This window comes from Homo sapiens, chromosome 8 (assembly GCF_000001405.40).
Source record: "Homo sapiens chromosome 8, GRCh38.p14 Primary Assembly".
In the NCBI taxonomy this organism is placed as follows: domain Eukaryota; kingdom Metazoa; phylum Chordata; class Mammalia; order Primates; family Hominidae; genus Homo; species Homo sapiens.
The window spans coordinates 127,916,602-127,931,916 of record NC_000008.11 but is presented as its reverse complement, the minus strand read 5'-3'; the positions used below and the strand labels follow the sequence as shown (position 1 = coordinate 127,931,916).

At 47.9% G+C, this 15,315-nt stretch overlaps 1 long non-coding RNA gene across 51 annotated transcripts in view, besides 2 other annotated features; it reads right to left on the bottom strand.

The window, feature by feature from the left end:
- PVT1 (Pvt1 oncogene) overlaps positions 1-15,315 on the bottom strand; it is a 306,733-nt gene that overhangs the window by 169,340 nt on the left and 122,078 nt on the right. The window lies entirely within an intron of this gene.
- Positions 6,749-7,248: an enhancer, noted in NCBI's record as "H3K4me1 hESC enhancer chr8:128936915-128937414 (GRCh37/hg19 assembly coordinates)". NCBI's record gives its function as "activates a minimal SCP1, AML or CMV promoter by ChIP-STARR-seq in primed H9 embryonic stem cells {active_cell/tissue: H9 hESC(primed)}" and the evidence as "EXISTENCE:reporter gene assay evidence [ECO:0000049][PMID:30033119]".
- Positions 11,588-12,115: an enhancer, noted in NCBI's record as "H3K27ac-H3K4me1 hESC enhancer chr8:128932048-128932575 (GRCh37/hg19 assembly coordinates)". NCBI's record gives its function as "activates a minimal SCP1, AML or CMV promoter by ChIP-STARR-seq in primed H9 embryonic stem cells {active_cell/tissue: H9 hESC(primed)}" and the evidence as "EXISTENCE:reporter gene assay evidence [ECO:0000049][PMID:30033119]".

The window sequence follows — 15,315 nt, the reverse complement described above, 5'->3', positions numbered from 1 at the left end:
ATTGTCTGGGGACCAGCCGCAGGGCCTTACATAATAGGCACCCCTCTCACTTTCTGGCCCTGGCCGTATTTGGGGATTGGCAAAAACATCTGATGAGCACCTCCAGCCTGTGTAAACACTGGCTTTATTAGGGTGGTGGACAGAGGTCTGGACGGGAGTTCTGCTTGGCTCGCGCTGAGTGAAATCAATTCCCATGGCCTCATCCTGCAGGCTCCCATCCGTTGGGTGGCAGTGCCGCTCAGTGGTTAGCACCGACTCTGAGGCCAGGCTGCCAGCACCCATCCAGATTCCAGCTCTACCACTTTCCAGCTGTGTGATCTGGGCAAGCTGCTGAGCTGCTCTGTGCCTCAGTTGCCTTGTCTATAAAATGATACTATTTGACCGGACTGCTAGGGTTACAGAGGATGAAGTAGAATCATACACACACAGTGCTCAGAACAATGCTTTGCACAAAATAAGCTTTCAATGATGAGCCAGTCAGGGTCCTAGAGATAAACATAGTGCCCCCACCTTCAAGACAGGAAATGGAATAAGTAAAATACAGAGATGGGGCCTGCATTCAGCAGAGTCTGCACTGGGTTTGGTGGCTGGGCAAAAGAGATGAGGGCAATCACTTCCCCCCAGCACCCTGGAAACATAAATGGAAAAGGGGTCTCCCTGGGAGCAAATAACAGAGGAGATAAGCTTGGAAATAAGAAACACCAAGTTCTTGGCCAGGTGCAGTGGCTCACACCTGCAATTCCAGCACTTTATGAGGCTAAGGTAGGCAGATGGCTTGAGCCCAGGAGTTTGAGACCAGCGTGGGCAACATAGTGAAACCCCATCACTACAAAAAAATTCAAAAACTAGCTGGGTGTGGTGGAGCGCACCTGTAGTCCCAGCTACTAGGGACGCTGAAGGGGAGGATCCCTTGAGCCTGGGAGGTTGAGGCTGCAGTGACGGCACCACTGAACTCCAGCCTGGGTGACAGAGCAAGACCCTGTCTCAAAAACAACAGCAACAACAAAAACCCCATCAATATCTTGCTGGAGATATAGGAAGATTCTAGCCAAGTTTAACAAAACCTTGAAATTCATTCCAATTAAACTCCCAGGGTCACAGCCCATGATATCATCACGAACCTGAAAATATGCTATAAGGGGGTTCTCAGCGGAGTCTGTAAATCCACCCACTGCTCTACACAGACAGACCTGGGCATGTCAGTGAGGGGGTACGAAGGGAAAGAAAAACCTTTGACGCCCCAGGAACTGGTACCTTTACACACCCTGCTGGGGCCCCTACATTCCTATTCACAACAACTCATAGATGGAGATGCACACACACACCATCTTTGTTTTGAAAAATGAGGAAACTGAGGCACAGAAAGGTTATGTTCCCTGGCTGAAGTCAAACCCTGAGTAAATTTAAAGGGTCAGAATTCAAACCCGGGTTTATTTTATTCTCCACTGAAAAGATTACTGCCAGGCATGATGACTCACGCCTCTAATCTCAGCACTTTGGGAGGCCGAGGTGGTTGGATCACCTGAGGTCAGGAGTTTGAGACCAGCCTGGCCAACATGGCAAAACTTCGTCTCTACTAAAAATGCAAAAAAATTAGCCAGACCTGGTGGCGCATGCCTGTAATCCCAGCTAATTGGGAGGCTGAGGCACAAGAATCGCTTGAACTCAGGAGTTGAGGGTTGTAGTGAGCTAAGATCATGCCACTGCCCTCCAACCTGAGCAACAGAGTGAGACTCTGTCCCAAAAAAAAATAATAATAATTCCGCACCGCCCCACCAGAGGTTGGTTTTTTTTAATTATTGTTATTTGTGAAATAATCACAAACGTGCTGGGAACACACAGCAAATCCTTTTCCCCTACAGCATGTGAGAGGGAGTAGTGGACCTGAAGCCCTATCACTACAGAGTACTTCCATGTGTATTTTTCTAAAGCAAAGACATTCTCCCTTAGGACCATGTTCTATAGGAAGATCAGGAAGCTGACACAGATACGTAACTAACATCTAACGCTCCCAGCCATCCAAGGTTTGACAATTGTCCAGAATCAAGCTTTGCATTTAATTCTCACATCTCTTTAGTCTCTTTCAGTCTGGAACCATTTCTCAGTCTTTCCCTGACACTCATGACCTTGACACTTCTTTTTTTTTTTTGAGACGGAGTCTCGCTCTGTCACCCAGGCTGGAGTCCAGTGGTGCGATCTCGGCTCACTGCAAGCTCCGCCTCCCGGGTTCACGCCATTCTCCTGCCTCAGCCTCCCGAGTAGCTGGGACTACAGGCGCCCGCCACCATGCCCGGCTAATTTTTTTTGTATTTTTAGTAGAGACGGGGTTTCACCGTGTTAGCCAGGATGGTCTCGATCTCCTGACCTCGTGATCCGCCTGCCTCGGCCTCCCAAAGTGTTTTATTTTCTTTTTAAAAAAATTTTCCCTGGGAGCACAGAACATATTAACATTTATTTTTCTTTTGCCTAATTGCAAAGCAAGAGTTGGGAGGAAGATTTCCTGGAAGAAAGTAAATCATCTAAGTCAACTGTGATGACAACCCACACCCAATCATTTTTAATTGGGCGAGGCAAAACGGTGTACTAGTTTATGGCTTAGGGAGGGTTCTAGCAGTCTGCCTGTCTGAGGAGGGACTACAGCTTTTACACAGCCAAGTAGATCCTGGCATCATTTGCTCATGCCAGCTTTGCTTACAAATAAAAAAAAAAAAAAAAAACAGAAAAATGAAAAACTGAAAACCCTCAGAGTTCAGCTTAAAAAGACCTTTCATGCAATGCCAGGACTCTCCCTTTCCCACCCGCTAAACCCCCCTTGCTTCTGTCCCAAAGTACAATACATATGTTTATCTTGCTTCTAAGTAGGGGTATATTAAAATACTTGAGGATTTTCCCCTCCTAATTCTGGCATGCTGGCTCCCACTGGCTGTGCAGCCGCATATCATGAAGTGCAAAAGCAACAGTAAATTATACCCTTTACAAACACAGCGATCTTTCCTGAGGTTGGAAGTCGCATCACTTGAAAGGCTGACTTTCTTCAAACTTCCAGGAACTGAGTGGCCCAGAGCCCATCTATTTAAAGGTCAACCCAGCCCTGCTGTATTTGGAGGGCTGCCTCGGACACAGGCTTATTCTCAGCCCCTCTCTGCAGCCACCGCAGCAGGACAGGCTGTGAGCAGCACTGTGTCCCTTTCAAAGGGAGAAGGGAGGCCAGAGACAGAGGAGGGCCAGAGAGAGATGGGAGATTGGAAACAACCAGTTGCCACCCCCTTACTCACCGCACCCCTCTGGGGGATAGGGTGGGGTGATGGTGGTTAGCAGAGTAAACTCCTCTGCCATGATTAAATCTCGGAATCGAGCTTAGGTCCCAATTTTCAGGGACAAGATGGTCCATTTGGTCACACTTTTAACTCAGCTGCCTGGGCTTAAGCTCTGGCAGAGCAGAGCAGATGATAAAGAAGACAATTCAGGACCATCCTGATAGGTATAGGGACCACGGCAATGGGAATTTGCAGTGTAGGAGAAAGATAGGGCTCAACTCAATACAGCCTGAGCAAGTGGAAATTCACAGCCAAGAAGCAGGGTGGGGGTCAGAGGATAGAAAATTACTAACAGGCAACATCAGGAGTAAGGGGGATTCTGGTTAAATCAACCTATCAAGATTCTTGCTAAAGGCAGGCCAGGGTGACCAGACATCATCTGGAGGGTGGTAGAAGATGAGGAACCCTATCTATCAGATATGGAAGATATTGACGGCCGGTGGTCCTTACCAAACTGACTCAGCAGAGTTTTTTGCTAAAACTAGATTTTACAGGAAGTACACAGATGGGCCTAGGAAAAGACTTAAGTGTCTGATTAAATTGGGTAATTGGGTCAAGCAAAGAATCTTTGTCAGTAGGTAGTGGGAGATGGCCCCTCTACCAGCTTGGCAAGGCAGCCAGAGGGGACGACAGCCCTTCTCACCCACCAACCGCACTGAGAATTTTTGTAAAGTATTTAACCCTTAGCTTGGTGTTAACTTACACAGGTCTGTGTGTATTTAATCCTATGAGCTTTGCTCAGTATTTGCTCATTCTTCAAACTGCTCGTGAATTCAGAGGATGCCAGGTAGTGAGAAGTCACTGCTGACAGAGCACCTGCAGCGGGCACAAGTGTCCTGTGGTTGGGGGGTCAGCACGGCTTACAGATGACTTTCAGGATGGTACAGTCAGTTGCCTAAAGTCACCCAGCTAAGGAGGGGGTATGGCCAGAATCCCAGTACTGATCAGTCTGACTCCAGAACATAGCCTCTAATTTCATCATACTCTTCATACACCCCCACATTCATGAAGTGAGCAAAGTGGTAAAGAAGACAGGCCCCACAGATCCTGGACCATGCAGCAAGCAGTGCTAGGATGGAAAGAACTCATCCCCCTAAGAGGCATCCAAAAGGGCTTCATGGAAGAGGTAGCATTTAAATGTTGCTTACAATGGGGCTTTTTGACAGGTCAGAGAGAAAAGGAAGAGCAACCCAGGAGGAAAGTACATGAACAAAAGCAATGAGACCAGAAACGGGCCTGGATGGGTGATGACAACTATCTGGCGAGGCTGAGCCCCTGCGTGGTGAGGGAGCCCAGGACTCCTTCTGGATGTCTTTCCAGCCTGTGTGGAGAGGGTGTCCCCTCGATGCTAGTCACTGCACCACATCATTGACCCAGATTATTTCCGATCCCCACAATAATGCAAGGAGTAGAGACGAATAGTCCCATTTTCATAGAAGAAGTTCCCGGTTAGAGAAGCCACCACAACTGAGTGCCTGGCTCCTGAGCAACAGGGCCCGGACTTGAACCCAGAGCTGTTTGCTACCAAGTTCCATGAGTTTCCCATGCAGCCTTCCCACGTCCTTTTCCCCTTTCTGCTGAGGTCATTGTCGGCACAGAAAAGGATGTTCGGGGGAATGAACGGAGGAGGGAAGGAAGGGGGGAACAGTGCCAAGGCTGTGATTCAATGCAGACCTTTCCTCGTGTCCGATTAGCCTGAAAAGACTTGGAAATCAAAACCAACCAAACAAAACACTCAACAGGCCAGCCCAGGAAGCTTCTATTCTCCAGAACAGAACTGAAAAGAGAGCCAGCAGGCCAAGGATCTCCAAGTCAGATACATCATCAGAGGGGACTCAGGAAAGGGAACGTGTTGCCGGATAGTGTCTGAGGGTGGGCACCCGGGGACAGATCCTGAGGAGGGAATGTCTGTCTGTGTGATTTAACAGGGAGCAACCTCAGGAGAAAGGAAGGGAAGGTGGCAGAGCCAGGCAAGGGAAGGAGGTGGTCTCGGCTGGGGACCAACTCAGGCCATCCACAGGATGCCCTGGAACATGAACCGCACCATGGAGTTTACCCCACATGGAAACAAGGAGGAGCAGCCCTTTGCACCCCTGAGTCAGCCAGGGCTGGTGCAGGGTGAGCAACTTCCCGGATGAAGCAGCTCCAGTTGGAGGAAGGCTAATCTCCAGAGAAGTGGTGCTGTGGACATTAGCAGCAGTGGACATTAGCAGCCGCCGTCTCGGCAGCTGGGGTGAGTGTACCGGTCCAGGGAGGGGGACCTGGGGCAGCCCTTCAACAACAACCACTACAATTAGTCACAACGGAGGGACTGTGCGATGCTCAGGCATGATAACAGCCCCCATTTTTTAACATTTCCTGCAGTCACCTTCCCTAGGCCAGACACTGCCTGGGCTGAATCAGCCTCTCAAATGGGTGCTGGAAACATCTGGGTCTTAGAGGGACACCAGGGGCAGGAAAAGAACCACTCTGGGGAGAAGAGAGCCGGCCAGAGACCATGACTGGAGGGAAGTGGGCAGAACAAGAACAGGACTGCAGAGAGTCCCACCTTTTCTCCACGCCTCTCTCCTAAAGAGAGCTGACATCTGAAATCAAATGAAACGAGCTGAGAACACAAACTCATGCTCCCATTCTTACACCCCAAAAAAGTCTAAAACTCACCTGGGCACGGTGGCTCATGCCTGTAATCCCAGCACTTTGGGAGCCCGAGGTGGGTGGCTCACCTGAGGTCAGGAGTTCGAGAGCAGCCCGGCCAACATGGTGAAACCCCATCTCTACTAAAAATACAAAATTAGCCAGGCATGGTGGTGTATGCCTATAGTCCCAGCTACTTGGGAGGCTGAGGCAGGAGAATCGCTTGAACCCAGGAGGCAGAGGTTGCGGTGAGCCGAGATGGCACCACTGCACTCCAGCCTGGGCAACAAAAGTAAAACTCCATTTCAAAAAAAAAACAAAAACAAAAAACCTCTAAAATTCACAGAACAGCCTCTGATAAATCTTTTCACAAGACTATATAATCTCAATAATTATTTTCAATAAATTAATTAATGAATCCTACCATAGTGCCCACCATATGGTAAGTGCTGAATAAAAGCTGAATGGCGTGTCCACTGAACACATTGTAACATCCACCATATGCTTACAGATAACCTTCTAGATCTTTCCCAAAATAGTAGAGGCTCTCTTTTGTGAAGTTGAGTTTGGCCTTAATCACATGATGCTGGATTTTTCAACTAGATTTTTTTGATTTTTTCAACTATATTTTTTTGATTTTTCATCTTGATTTTTCAACTAGAGCTTTGCTGTCCCCAAATGTTCATCAACAGATGAGTAGATTTTTAAAAATGCAATATACTTGTGCTAGGGAACAGTATTCAGCCCTAAGGAGAAATGACATGCTGATCTATGCTACAACACAGATAAACCTTGAAAACATTACACCAAGTGAAAGAAGCCAGGCACAAAAGACCATTCCAGGATAGGTATATTTGTAGTACAAGTAGCTCAACAATTTCTTAGCACGCAGAGAATTGTGGGAATAAAGAGGTGACTGCTAATAAAAACGATTTCTTTTTGGGGTGATCAAAATGCTCTCAAATTGATTGTGGTGATGGTTGCACAACTCCATGAATATATTAAGAACAATTGTGTTGGCCGAGCACCGTGGCTCCTGCCTATAATCCCAGCACTAAGGGAGGCCGAGGTGGGTGGATCGCTTAAGGCCAGGAGTTCAAGACCAGTCTGGGCAACGTGGCAAAACCCCATCTCTACTAAAAATACAAAAGTTGGGGTCTGGTGCGGTGGTTCACACCTGTAATCCCAGCACTTTGGGAGGCCGAGGTGGGCGGATCACGAGGTCAGGAGATCAAGACCATCCTGGCTAACACGGCGAAACCCCATCTCCACTAAAAATACAAAAAATTAGTCGGGCGTGGTGGTGGGCGCCTGTAGTCCCAGCTACTCAGGAGGCTGAGGCAGGAGAATGGCATGAACACGGGAGGCGGAGCTTACAGTGAGCCGACATCGAGCCACTGCACTCCAGCCTGGGCAACAGAGTGAGACTCTGTCTCAAAAAAAAAAAAAAAAAAAAATACAAAAGTTAGCCAGACATGGTGGTGTGTGCCTGTAGTCTCAGCTACTCGGGAGGCTGAAGCAGAATAGCCTGAACCCGGGAGGCGGAGGTTGCAGTGAGCCAAGATGGCACCACTGCACTCCAGCCTGGGTCACAGAGCAAGACTCTGTCTCAAAGAAACAAACAAACAAAAAAAATTGTGTTGTATACCTTAAATGGGTGAGTTTCAGGTGAATTATATGTGAATTATATCTCAATAAAGCTGCTATATATAAAAAAGAAAGGAAGAAGTTTGCTCTGATGTGAAGGAATAACACCAGCAATGATGGATCCCAGCCACTGTATGAAAACGCAAACTGGTGGCTTCTAGAAGAGGCCCTAACAGCTCCATGAACACACAGACATGTGTCCCCAAACACATCCCCCTGGAAAGGAAGAAGAGAATAGCTGCTGCCCACCACTCCCCAAATCTCTGACCCCCGGCCTCCAACACCATGCCAGAGGGGGCATGGAGCAGACAGCCAGGAACTCTTATTTTGTCTCCTGCCCCGAGCAATTCCTAAACAGTGGGAGTTAAATATTTATAAAGCCGTCACTGTTTGTTTAATGTTCAATCTGTACTTGGGAAGGCTGATGCAGGGAAATGCTGAAGTGACAGCTGATTATACAACCTGGGAGAAGCGCGGCACACCAGGATCTGACACTTCCCAGGGCTCTGGCCCTCGCCTTCTCTCCCTTTTGCTCCCCAGCATGGGCTGCCTTCCTCCTTCTCCATGTGCCCCTGGGTTAGGGGGAGGCTCCTGTGTTTAGTCTCCTCTTCCCAGCTCCCGTGGAACAAGACAAAATAGCCGTTTTCACCAAAAGCCAGAGTCTCAGCGCTTTTAATGTGATGTGAACAGTCCCTGAGACTGTGATGCTGTTGGGGAGACATCTTCCTTCATGGCACCCACTGCATTGAACCCTCTGCCAATAGAAGATCCTGCTCAGAAGCGGGGACCCAAACCAAGGCAGTGACAGCAGCACACTCAGACCAGGAACGCCTTCTGAGGCCTCCCCCAAATCATCCTCCTCGTCCTCCTCTGAGCATGTCCCACACCAGGCCCCAACCTGAACGCTTCATCAAAGATGAATGTTGGAATCCAACTCACAGGCTTCACATCTGGCTTTGTCATTTATCAGCTGTGTGACATGAACCTGCTCTGACTCAGTTTCCCACACTGTGAAGCACAAATGAATGGCCCGTCTGCTTCGCAGAGTTGCTTGTGAGCATTAACTAAAACAGTACTTTGAGGCAGCCAGCATCGCTATGATGAACTCAACGGTGACTCCGCCACCTGCTTCGGAGTCCTAACTCTAAACCTCACTTGTCTGTGACCTTGGGCAATTCCAGTCACTTGTCCCAGCCCTCCTCACTGGTCTACCCAGCAAATGAGATTACCATATAATGAGATAAAATAAGATACCTAATAAAATGATACAAACGAGATATACAGTAAGATAAAATGAGATAGGGTGAGCACTGCCCAAAATATGGGTCAGGGCTTAGCAGTTTTGCTGATACAGCAAGGTGGGGAGATGGCCACTAATGCTCCTTCATGTCTGGGACTCCCGTGACTCTTTTGGGGGCCCAGATACCTCTGAAAGTGGCTAATGCACAGGGATTATCCTGCCAGCTGCATCCGGTAAGAGGTTGCCAGAATCTTCAAATTGCCAGAAGGCATTATGGTGACACCAGTTGGTCTGGAAGTAAAGAGATGGGCCTGGGCTAAGTAATGGTGACAGATCCTGTCCAGCCTGCAGGACCTCGCCTAAGCCTGCCGCCTTCCCTTCCTACCACTGTGTTGGCAGTAGAGTGGGGGACACAGATGGATGAGCAAGATCTCCCTCTTCAAGGAGTCCTGGGTCCCACAGTGAGCTGGACACATAAAGAAACCCCTAATGAATGCAAGGATGGAGGTAGGAAGGTAGCTCAGAGAGGTGCAGTCAAGGCAAAGAAGAGTGAACTAGGCAGAAGGAACAGCAGGAGCTCTGCAGCCATGGAAAACTGAGGCAGAAGAGAACCTCATTACCCCAGAAAAGAACCCACTTAAAATAGGTCCAGATATTTAATGTAGCATATGGGGGAGAGGGGTTGCAGCATCTTGAAAAATCAAGCTTCATCACCTACTTCGGATTCCTAGCTCTACCCATTTGGCTGTGATCTGGGGTGACTTTTGTCACTTGTCCTAGCCCTCCTTGGTGGGGGGGGGGGTGGGTATCTTGGAAAAAGAAATAAAGAATTATAAAAATGACTTTATTAGTATACAATTTATAATTACACATAAACTATACATAAAATAAGATTGATCTTATACTTTGAAACCTGAACTGGCCAGGTGCAGTGGCTCACACCTGTAATCCCTGCATTTTGGGAGGCCAAGGCGGGCAGATCACGAGGTCAAGAGTTCAAGACCAGTCTGACCAATATGGTGAAACACCGTCTCTACTAAAAATACAAAAATTAACCGGGCGTGGTGGCACATGCTTGTAGTCCTAGCTACTCGGGAGGCAGAGGCAGGTAAATTGCTTGAACCCAGGAGGCAGAGGTTGCAGTGAGCTAAGATCACGCCACTGCACTCCAGCCTAGATGATAGAGCAAGACTCTGCCTCAAAAAAAAAAAAAAAAAAAAAAAACATGAACCAAAAATTATAATTTTTTTAAATTTATTTATTTTCCAGACAGAGTCTCGCAGTCTCACCCAGGCTGGAGTGCAGTGACGTGATGTTGGCTCACTGCAACCTCTGCCTCCTGAGTTCAAGTGATTCTCATGCACAGCCTCCCAAGTAGACAGGAAGATAGGCATGCACCACAAAGCCCAGCTAATTTTCTGTATTTTTTAATAGAGATGGGGTTTCGATATGTTGGCCAGACTGGTCTCAAACTCCTGGCCTCAAATGATCCTCCCTCCTCGGCCTCCCAAAGTGTTGGGATTACAGGCAGGAGCCACTGTGCCCGGCCCCTGAAATTATCATTTTAAACTATGATCTAATTTGCTGAGTTGTGTACAGAATGAATCTAATGTCGAGGCCTTCCTTAGCACACGTTTTCTCACAAAATATAAACTTCCTTCACTCCACTCCTTCATCATTAATCCAAGGAATCATTTTGCAAAACACCTTTCGAAGACCTCTCTTAACTTTTTTTTTTTAACATTTTTAAATCACTTTCCCTTGATTTGCATAGAGAGACATCATCTTTCCTTTCTCTTCTCCACGGTTAACAACCCTGATTCTGCTAGTGCTCCCCAATTGCTATATCCTCAGCACTACTCAGCGCTCGGCACACAGGAGGTGTCAGTAAGCGTGTGTGGTTCATGCAGCCTCTCACAGGCCTTTGCTGATTCCAGGAAACCCTGCAGCTGGTACAAAACGTGCAATTTCTGGCAGCTGATCTGCCTTGGAGAGAAAAACCCCTGTTCCTCAGTTCTGCCACTGTCATTTCATTGAAAATGTAGGCAATCATTAAGGACCAACACTTAAATATTTTATTATAGTTGCATATTTATTAACCAATCAAAGGGTAGGATCTTTTTTTGGCACGCTGACTAGAGATGCAAATCATCTTCCATGCAAAATACACACTCACAAGTCAACATCTACAATTCCTGGTTTCAGTTTCTTTAAAGCAGTGCCAAAGTTAATCACCTGTAAAGCATATGGAATACAAACTATGGTTTTACAATTTTTTACAGCTGTTTTGCCTTTAAGTTATTTGGTGACAATTTTTTTTTAGCAAATCAATATTATCCATTCTATCCAAAGTACTAAACTTTTCATAAAACAACTCTTTATAAACTCAATTTTCATTAGTTTATGTCGTACTTAATTACCAACACAACAACTTTTGGCAAGCACATAAATCAACTAGTAGTAACAAGCCTTCTGGGCACACCAATATCAATAGCTAACATTTATTGAGTGTTTATCGTATCATAAAACACTGTTCTAAGCCTTTAAACGTACTAATTCATTTAATGCTCATAATCACTTTAGAAGGTGGGTACTAGTATTAGTCTCATTTACAGATGCAACATGCAGGCACAGAGAGGTTAATTAACTTGCCCAAGGTAACACAGCTAAGAAATAGAAAAAATATTGAATCTGGAAAGTTGGGCTTCTGGGTAACCCACAGAGTCTTCAATGAGCCTGGGGCCTCACTCAGTTTGCTTTTACAAAGCGAATGAGTAACATCACTTAATTCAGTGAGTAGGCCAAATGGAGGTCAGCTACGAGTTTCTGCTGTTCTTGCAGTGGACTGACAGATGTTTACAACGTCTGGCCATCAGTAAATGACTGATTATCATTGGATGTGGGTGGGCTGAATGTTGGCAGTGAGTTTATTCATGCATATTTTTATGTTAGGATGACTTTTGCTGTCCTAGGCAAGCTCTGTCTGCAGGAACACAGATAACACAGGACCCCCTCAATTTCTGTGTGGCTAGAACATGAACCACTGTTGGGGACAAGAGGAGAGGCTGGGGGAGACTTCAAGGCCAGGTGTGTCAGGCCAAGTGTTTTGGATTTAACTCCGCCTATAGATGCTTCTTCATGTTCAGTGACTGGCCAGAAATTGCACCTGCCTACCGCTGCGAAGGGATAAGATTCAGGAGACCCCCAAACTGCTGGCACAAAATGTAGAGCAGAAGGAAAGGGAAGAAAACCTGACAGTGGAATGGTGGGCCTGCATGCGAGGGCTTGGAGGCTTTCCTTCCACTTCTGACCTTCCCCGAGTCCCCAGGACACCTGCACTGCTGGATGGTGGGCCACAGTGAGTGAGGCCAGAAAACGAAGGTAGGGACCCTGATCAGAGGCCAGGCAGCTCTTCCAGGCAGAGGGAAGGTCAGACATCTGATCTCTGGGCTCTCAGTCCAGCGTCCTTTCCACCACCCTATGCCACAGTCGCCAATAGAGCCGGAGTGGGTAGCAGGATGGTGACTGCTCAGGGGAGGGGGCAGACCCCACTCAGACTGGATGAAGAGTGAGAAAAAATATATAACATTGCACAAAAGTGGGGAGAAGCCTTCAGTCTCCAAAGCCCTGCTCCTGAAGCCCAGATAAACAGACTGTGTCGCTAAGTCAATAACTTTCCACAGTAGAGGGTTAAGAAGAGGAAATGGCTTTGTTACCTGAATCCTTTCCACTTGTTAAAAGAAGTCACCTTCCTGCTCCTTGAAGTAATTGACATCAAGGAGGAATGCCGAGAATTTTCAGCTTCTCAGCCAGCTGACAAGGTGCTGTGTTAGAATGTGCACACTCCATAACAGCCCAAATACTACTTAAAGTGCAGAGGCAGGTGACATTAGAAAATAAACAAGCCAACAAAAGTAAACCGGGCTTCACTGCTCCCTGGTTAGCAGAAGCTGAGGGCTGGCCAGGCTCCTGGTACCCGACGTGCAATCACATCTCTAGGGAGGGAAGGCCCAACGCGCACTGCCTTCACCAACCTGACAGCGGTCATCTGAAGAAGGGTGTCAGGACAGCCCCAACGATCAGAACCCAGAGAACTGGAAGAAAGCCCCCACGACCCCGCGAGAGGAAGAACATTAGAATTCTGCACACCATCTTTCAGTGGTAGTGAGTGCCCCGTCAGTGGAGGTATTCCAGGGCTGACTAAACAGACAAGTGGCCAGGTTGCTACGAGTGGGGGTTCAACTTATCTCTTGGGTGGTTAGAAAAGAATGCAGCGACTCAAGGCTTGTGCATTTGCTCACTGCATTACAAATGCATATCAGAAAGGTTGCACAACCTAACCTGACCCTTTGTTCCTTCACATTCTTTCTCTCTAGGGCTTTCTCTGCAAAGCTAGAGGAGCTGTATGGATGTCAGGAGCAAAGTGTCCCTTCTTACTTTATGGAGGGCCTACTATGTGCCAGCATTGTCTGGGGAACTCAGATGAATCATGCAAGCCCCTAGTGCCAGTTCTCTAGAGCTATGGCACAATGGCTTCAGTTTATCAATGAGACTAGAAGCCAGTAAACATTCCTGAGGGCCTAGTGGTTCCAGTTGTGAAAGCCATCGTCGTTGGTAGTAATGTTATTCTATTATTCCCACTGACAAATGAGGACACAGATCAGGGAAGAGAAAGGATGCCCTCCATTCACCGAGCAAGTCCGTGGAGGAGCTGCCTTTCCAATCTAGCCAGCCATACCAAGCTCCAAGATCCACACTCTTTCCCTGGCTGTGCTGCATGGGCCGATACACAGTTCCACACCCCCAGGAACATCCCCTCCACCAGGAAAGTCAGGACTTGTCTCCACTCCCCCATCCACTGCCTTCAGGGGTCATTCCACCATTTCCTCTATATTTCACCACTGGCCCAACTGAATTCCGGTGGCGCAGGCCGCCCCCGAGTCATGGCAGAGATGAGCAGGGCTTTGAGAGCAGAGATGAAAGGCAGCGCTGCAGAGCGCATGAGGTCTCAGCACAAATGTCAACTACTTTCATCAGGAAAACCCAAAATTACCCACTCTTACACGCAGTCTTTCATCTGCTACGGGGCAAGCAGAGGCTGCTTATTAGAAATGCTGCCTTGTCCGTAATCTCCTTGTGGGGGACAGGGTTGAGGGGCGAACGCCAGCATCACCCTCAGAATCACGGCGCTGCCTCACTCTGAGGGGCAGCTGGCCTGTCGGAAACACAGGCTCCACTCTGCCCTTGGCCACCAGACGCTGACTAACCGGACAGAGAGGAGGTCTGCCTGGGCCAGCTGCCACCACTGCAGAGGCAGACTCTGCCAAAAGACGGCTGTCCCCAGAGCGGGCTGTAGGCGCGTTGGGGCGGCCAAGCCACTGCTGTGCACCTCCCACACATACAGCCTGCAGCTCCAGGAAACAGAGGTTTGAGACCGCAAACTAAATGTACAGGAGGGCTGACCGGCCCCTCTATTTCTTCCTTCTCTCTTTCTCCAGCAAAGCCAGCAATTGAGAACTCCACATCATAGATTACTGTGGCTAAAAGGGGCCTCTTGAGGTCACTGATATGGTTCCCCTGGATCAAGACCAGTCTGTCCTGGGTCATCACAGGATCCAGGCTATAACCCTCATGAAAGGGATCTCAAGGGAGAGCTGGTTTCCTTTATTGCTACCAGAGCAGCCTGCACCTTTCTGAATCCCAGCACTCATGACATTTGACTTTTGCCTTCTATTCCAGTATCTATCGCCTCCTCATGATCTGTGAGTCCTTAAGACCAGGGGCTGTTTTAGCCTTTTCTGTGTCTTCAGGACTTAACACAAGGCCTGGTCCAGAGAGCTGGCTAGGAAATGTGGGTGGGTGGATGGGTGGTTGCGTGGATGGATTAGATGGTAGCGCAGGCAGAAAGGGGAAGAGACAGAAGAGAGTTGTAACTAGGGGCTATCAAACACATTTACTCTAGACTGCCACAGTCATGGAACTTTTGGGCCAAAGTGGGCTTGAGAGATGCTCTAAGTCTCACTGCCACTCCTTATTTTGCAGAGGAGAAAACTTAAACTCTAGCACTCACTGTCTTGTGCAAGGTGAGATAATCCATCCTAACATCTAAAGCTTTTGGTAGCCTCCATCAGAAAGGATACATAACAATCCATCCTGCTATCAGAACCGAAACGATACTCACGCTCCCCTAGCTTGTGCAAGAAGTGCTGCCTCTAACATGCAACCCAGAAAGCTTCAGCTCAGTGCTGCTAAAAATACAATAAAATCAAGAGGAAGTGGGGCTCAGGAAGGAAGGAACACAGGTCTCCCACCACTACAAGCCAAGCTTAAGGTGATGGCCCACAACTTCCCACCAGGAAGGCCAGTTCTCCCTGCTTCTCACCTGGATCACACGCCTCACCAGGATGAGAGGAGGACAAAGCTGAGCATTTGGATCTTCCGGGAATAATTCCTACTATGAGAGAAAATGCAGCCAAA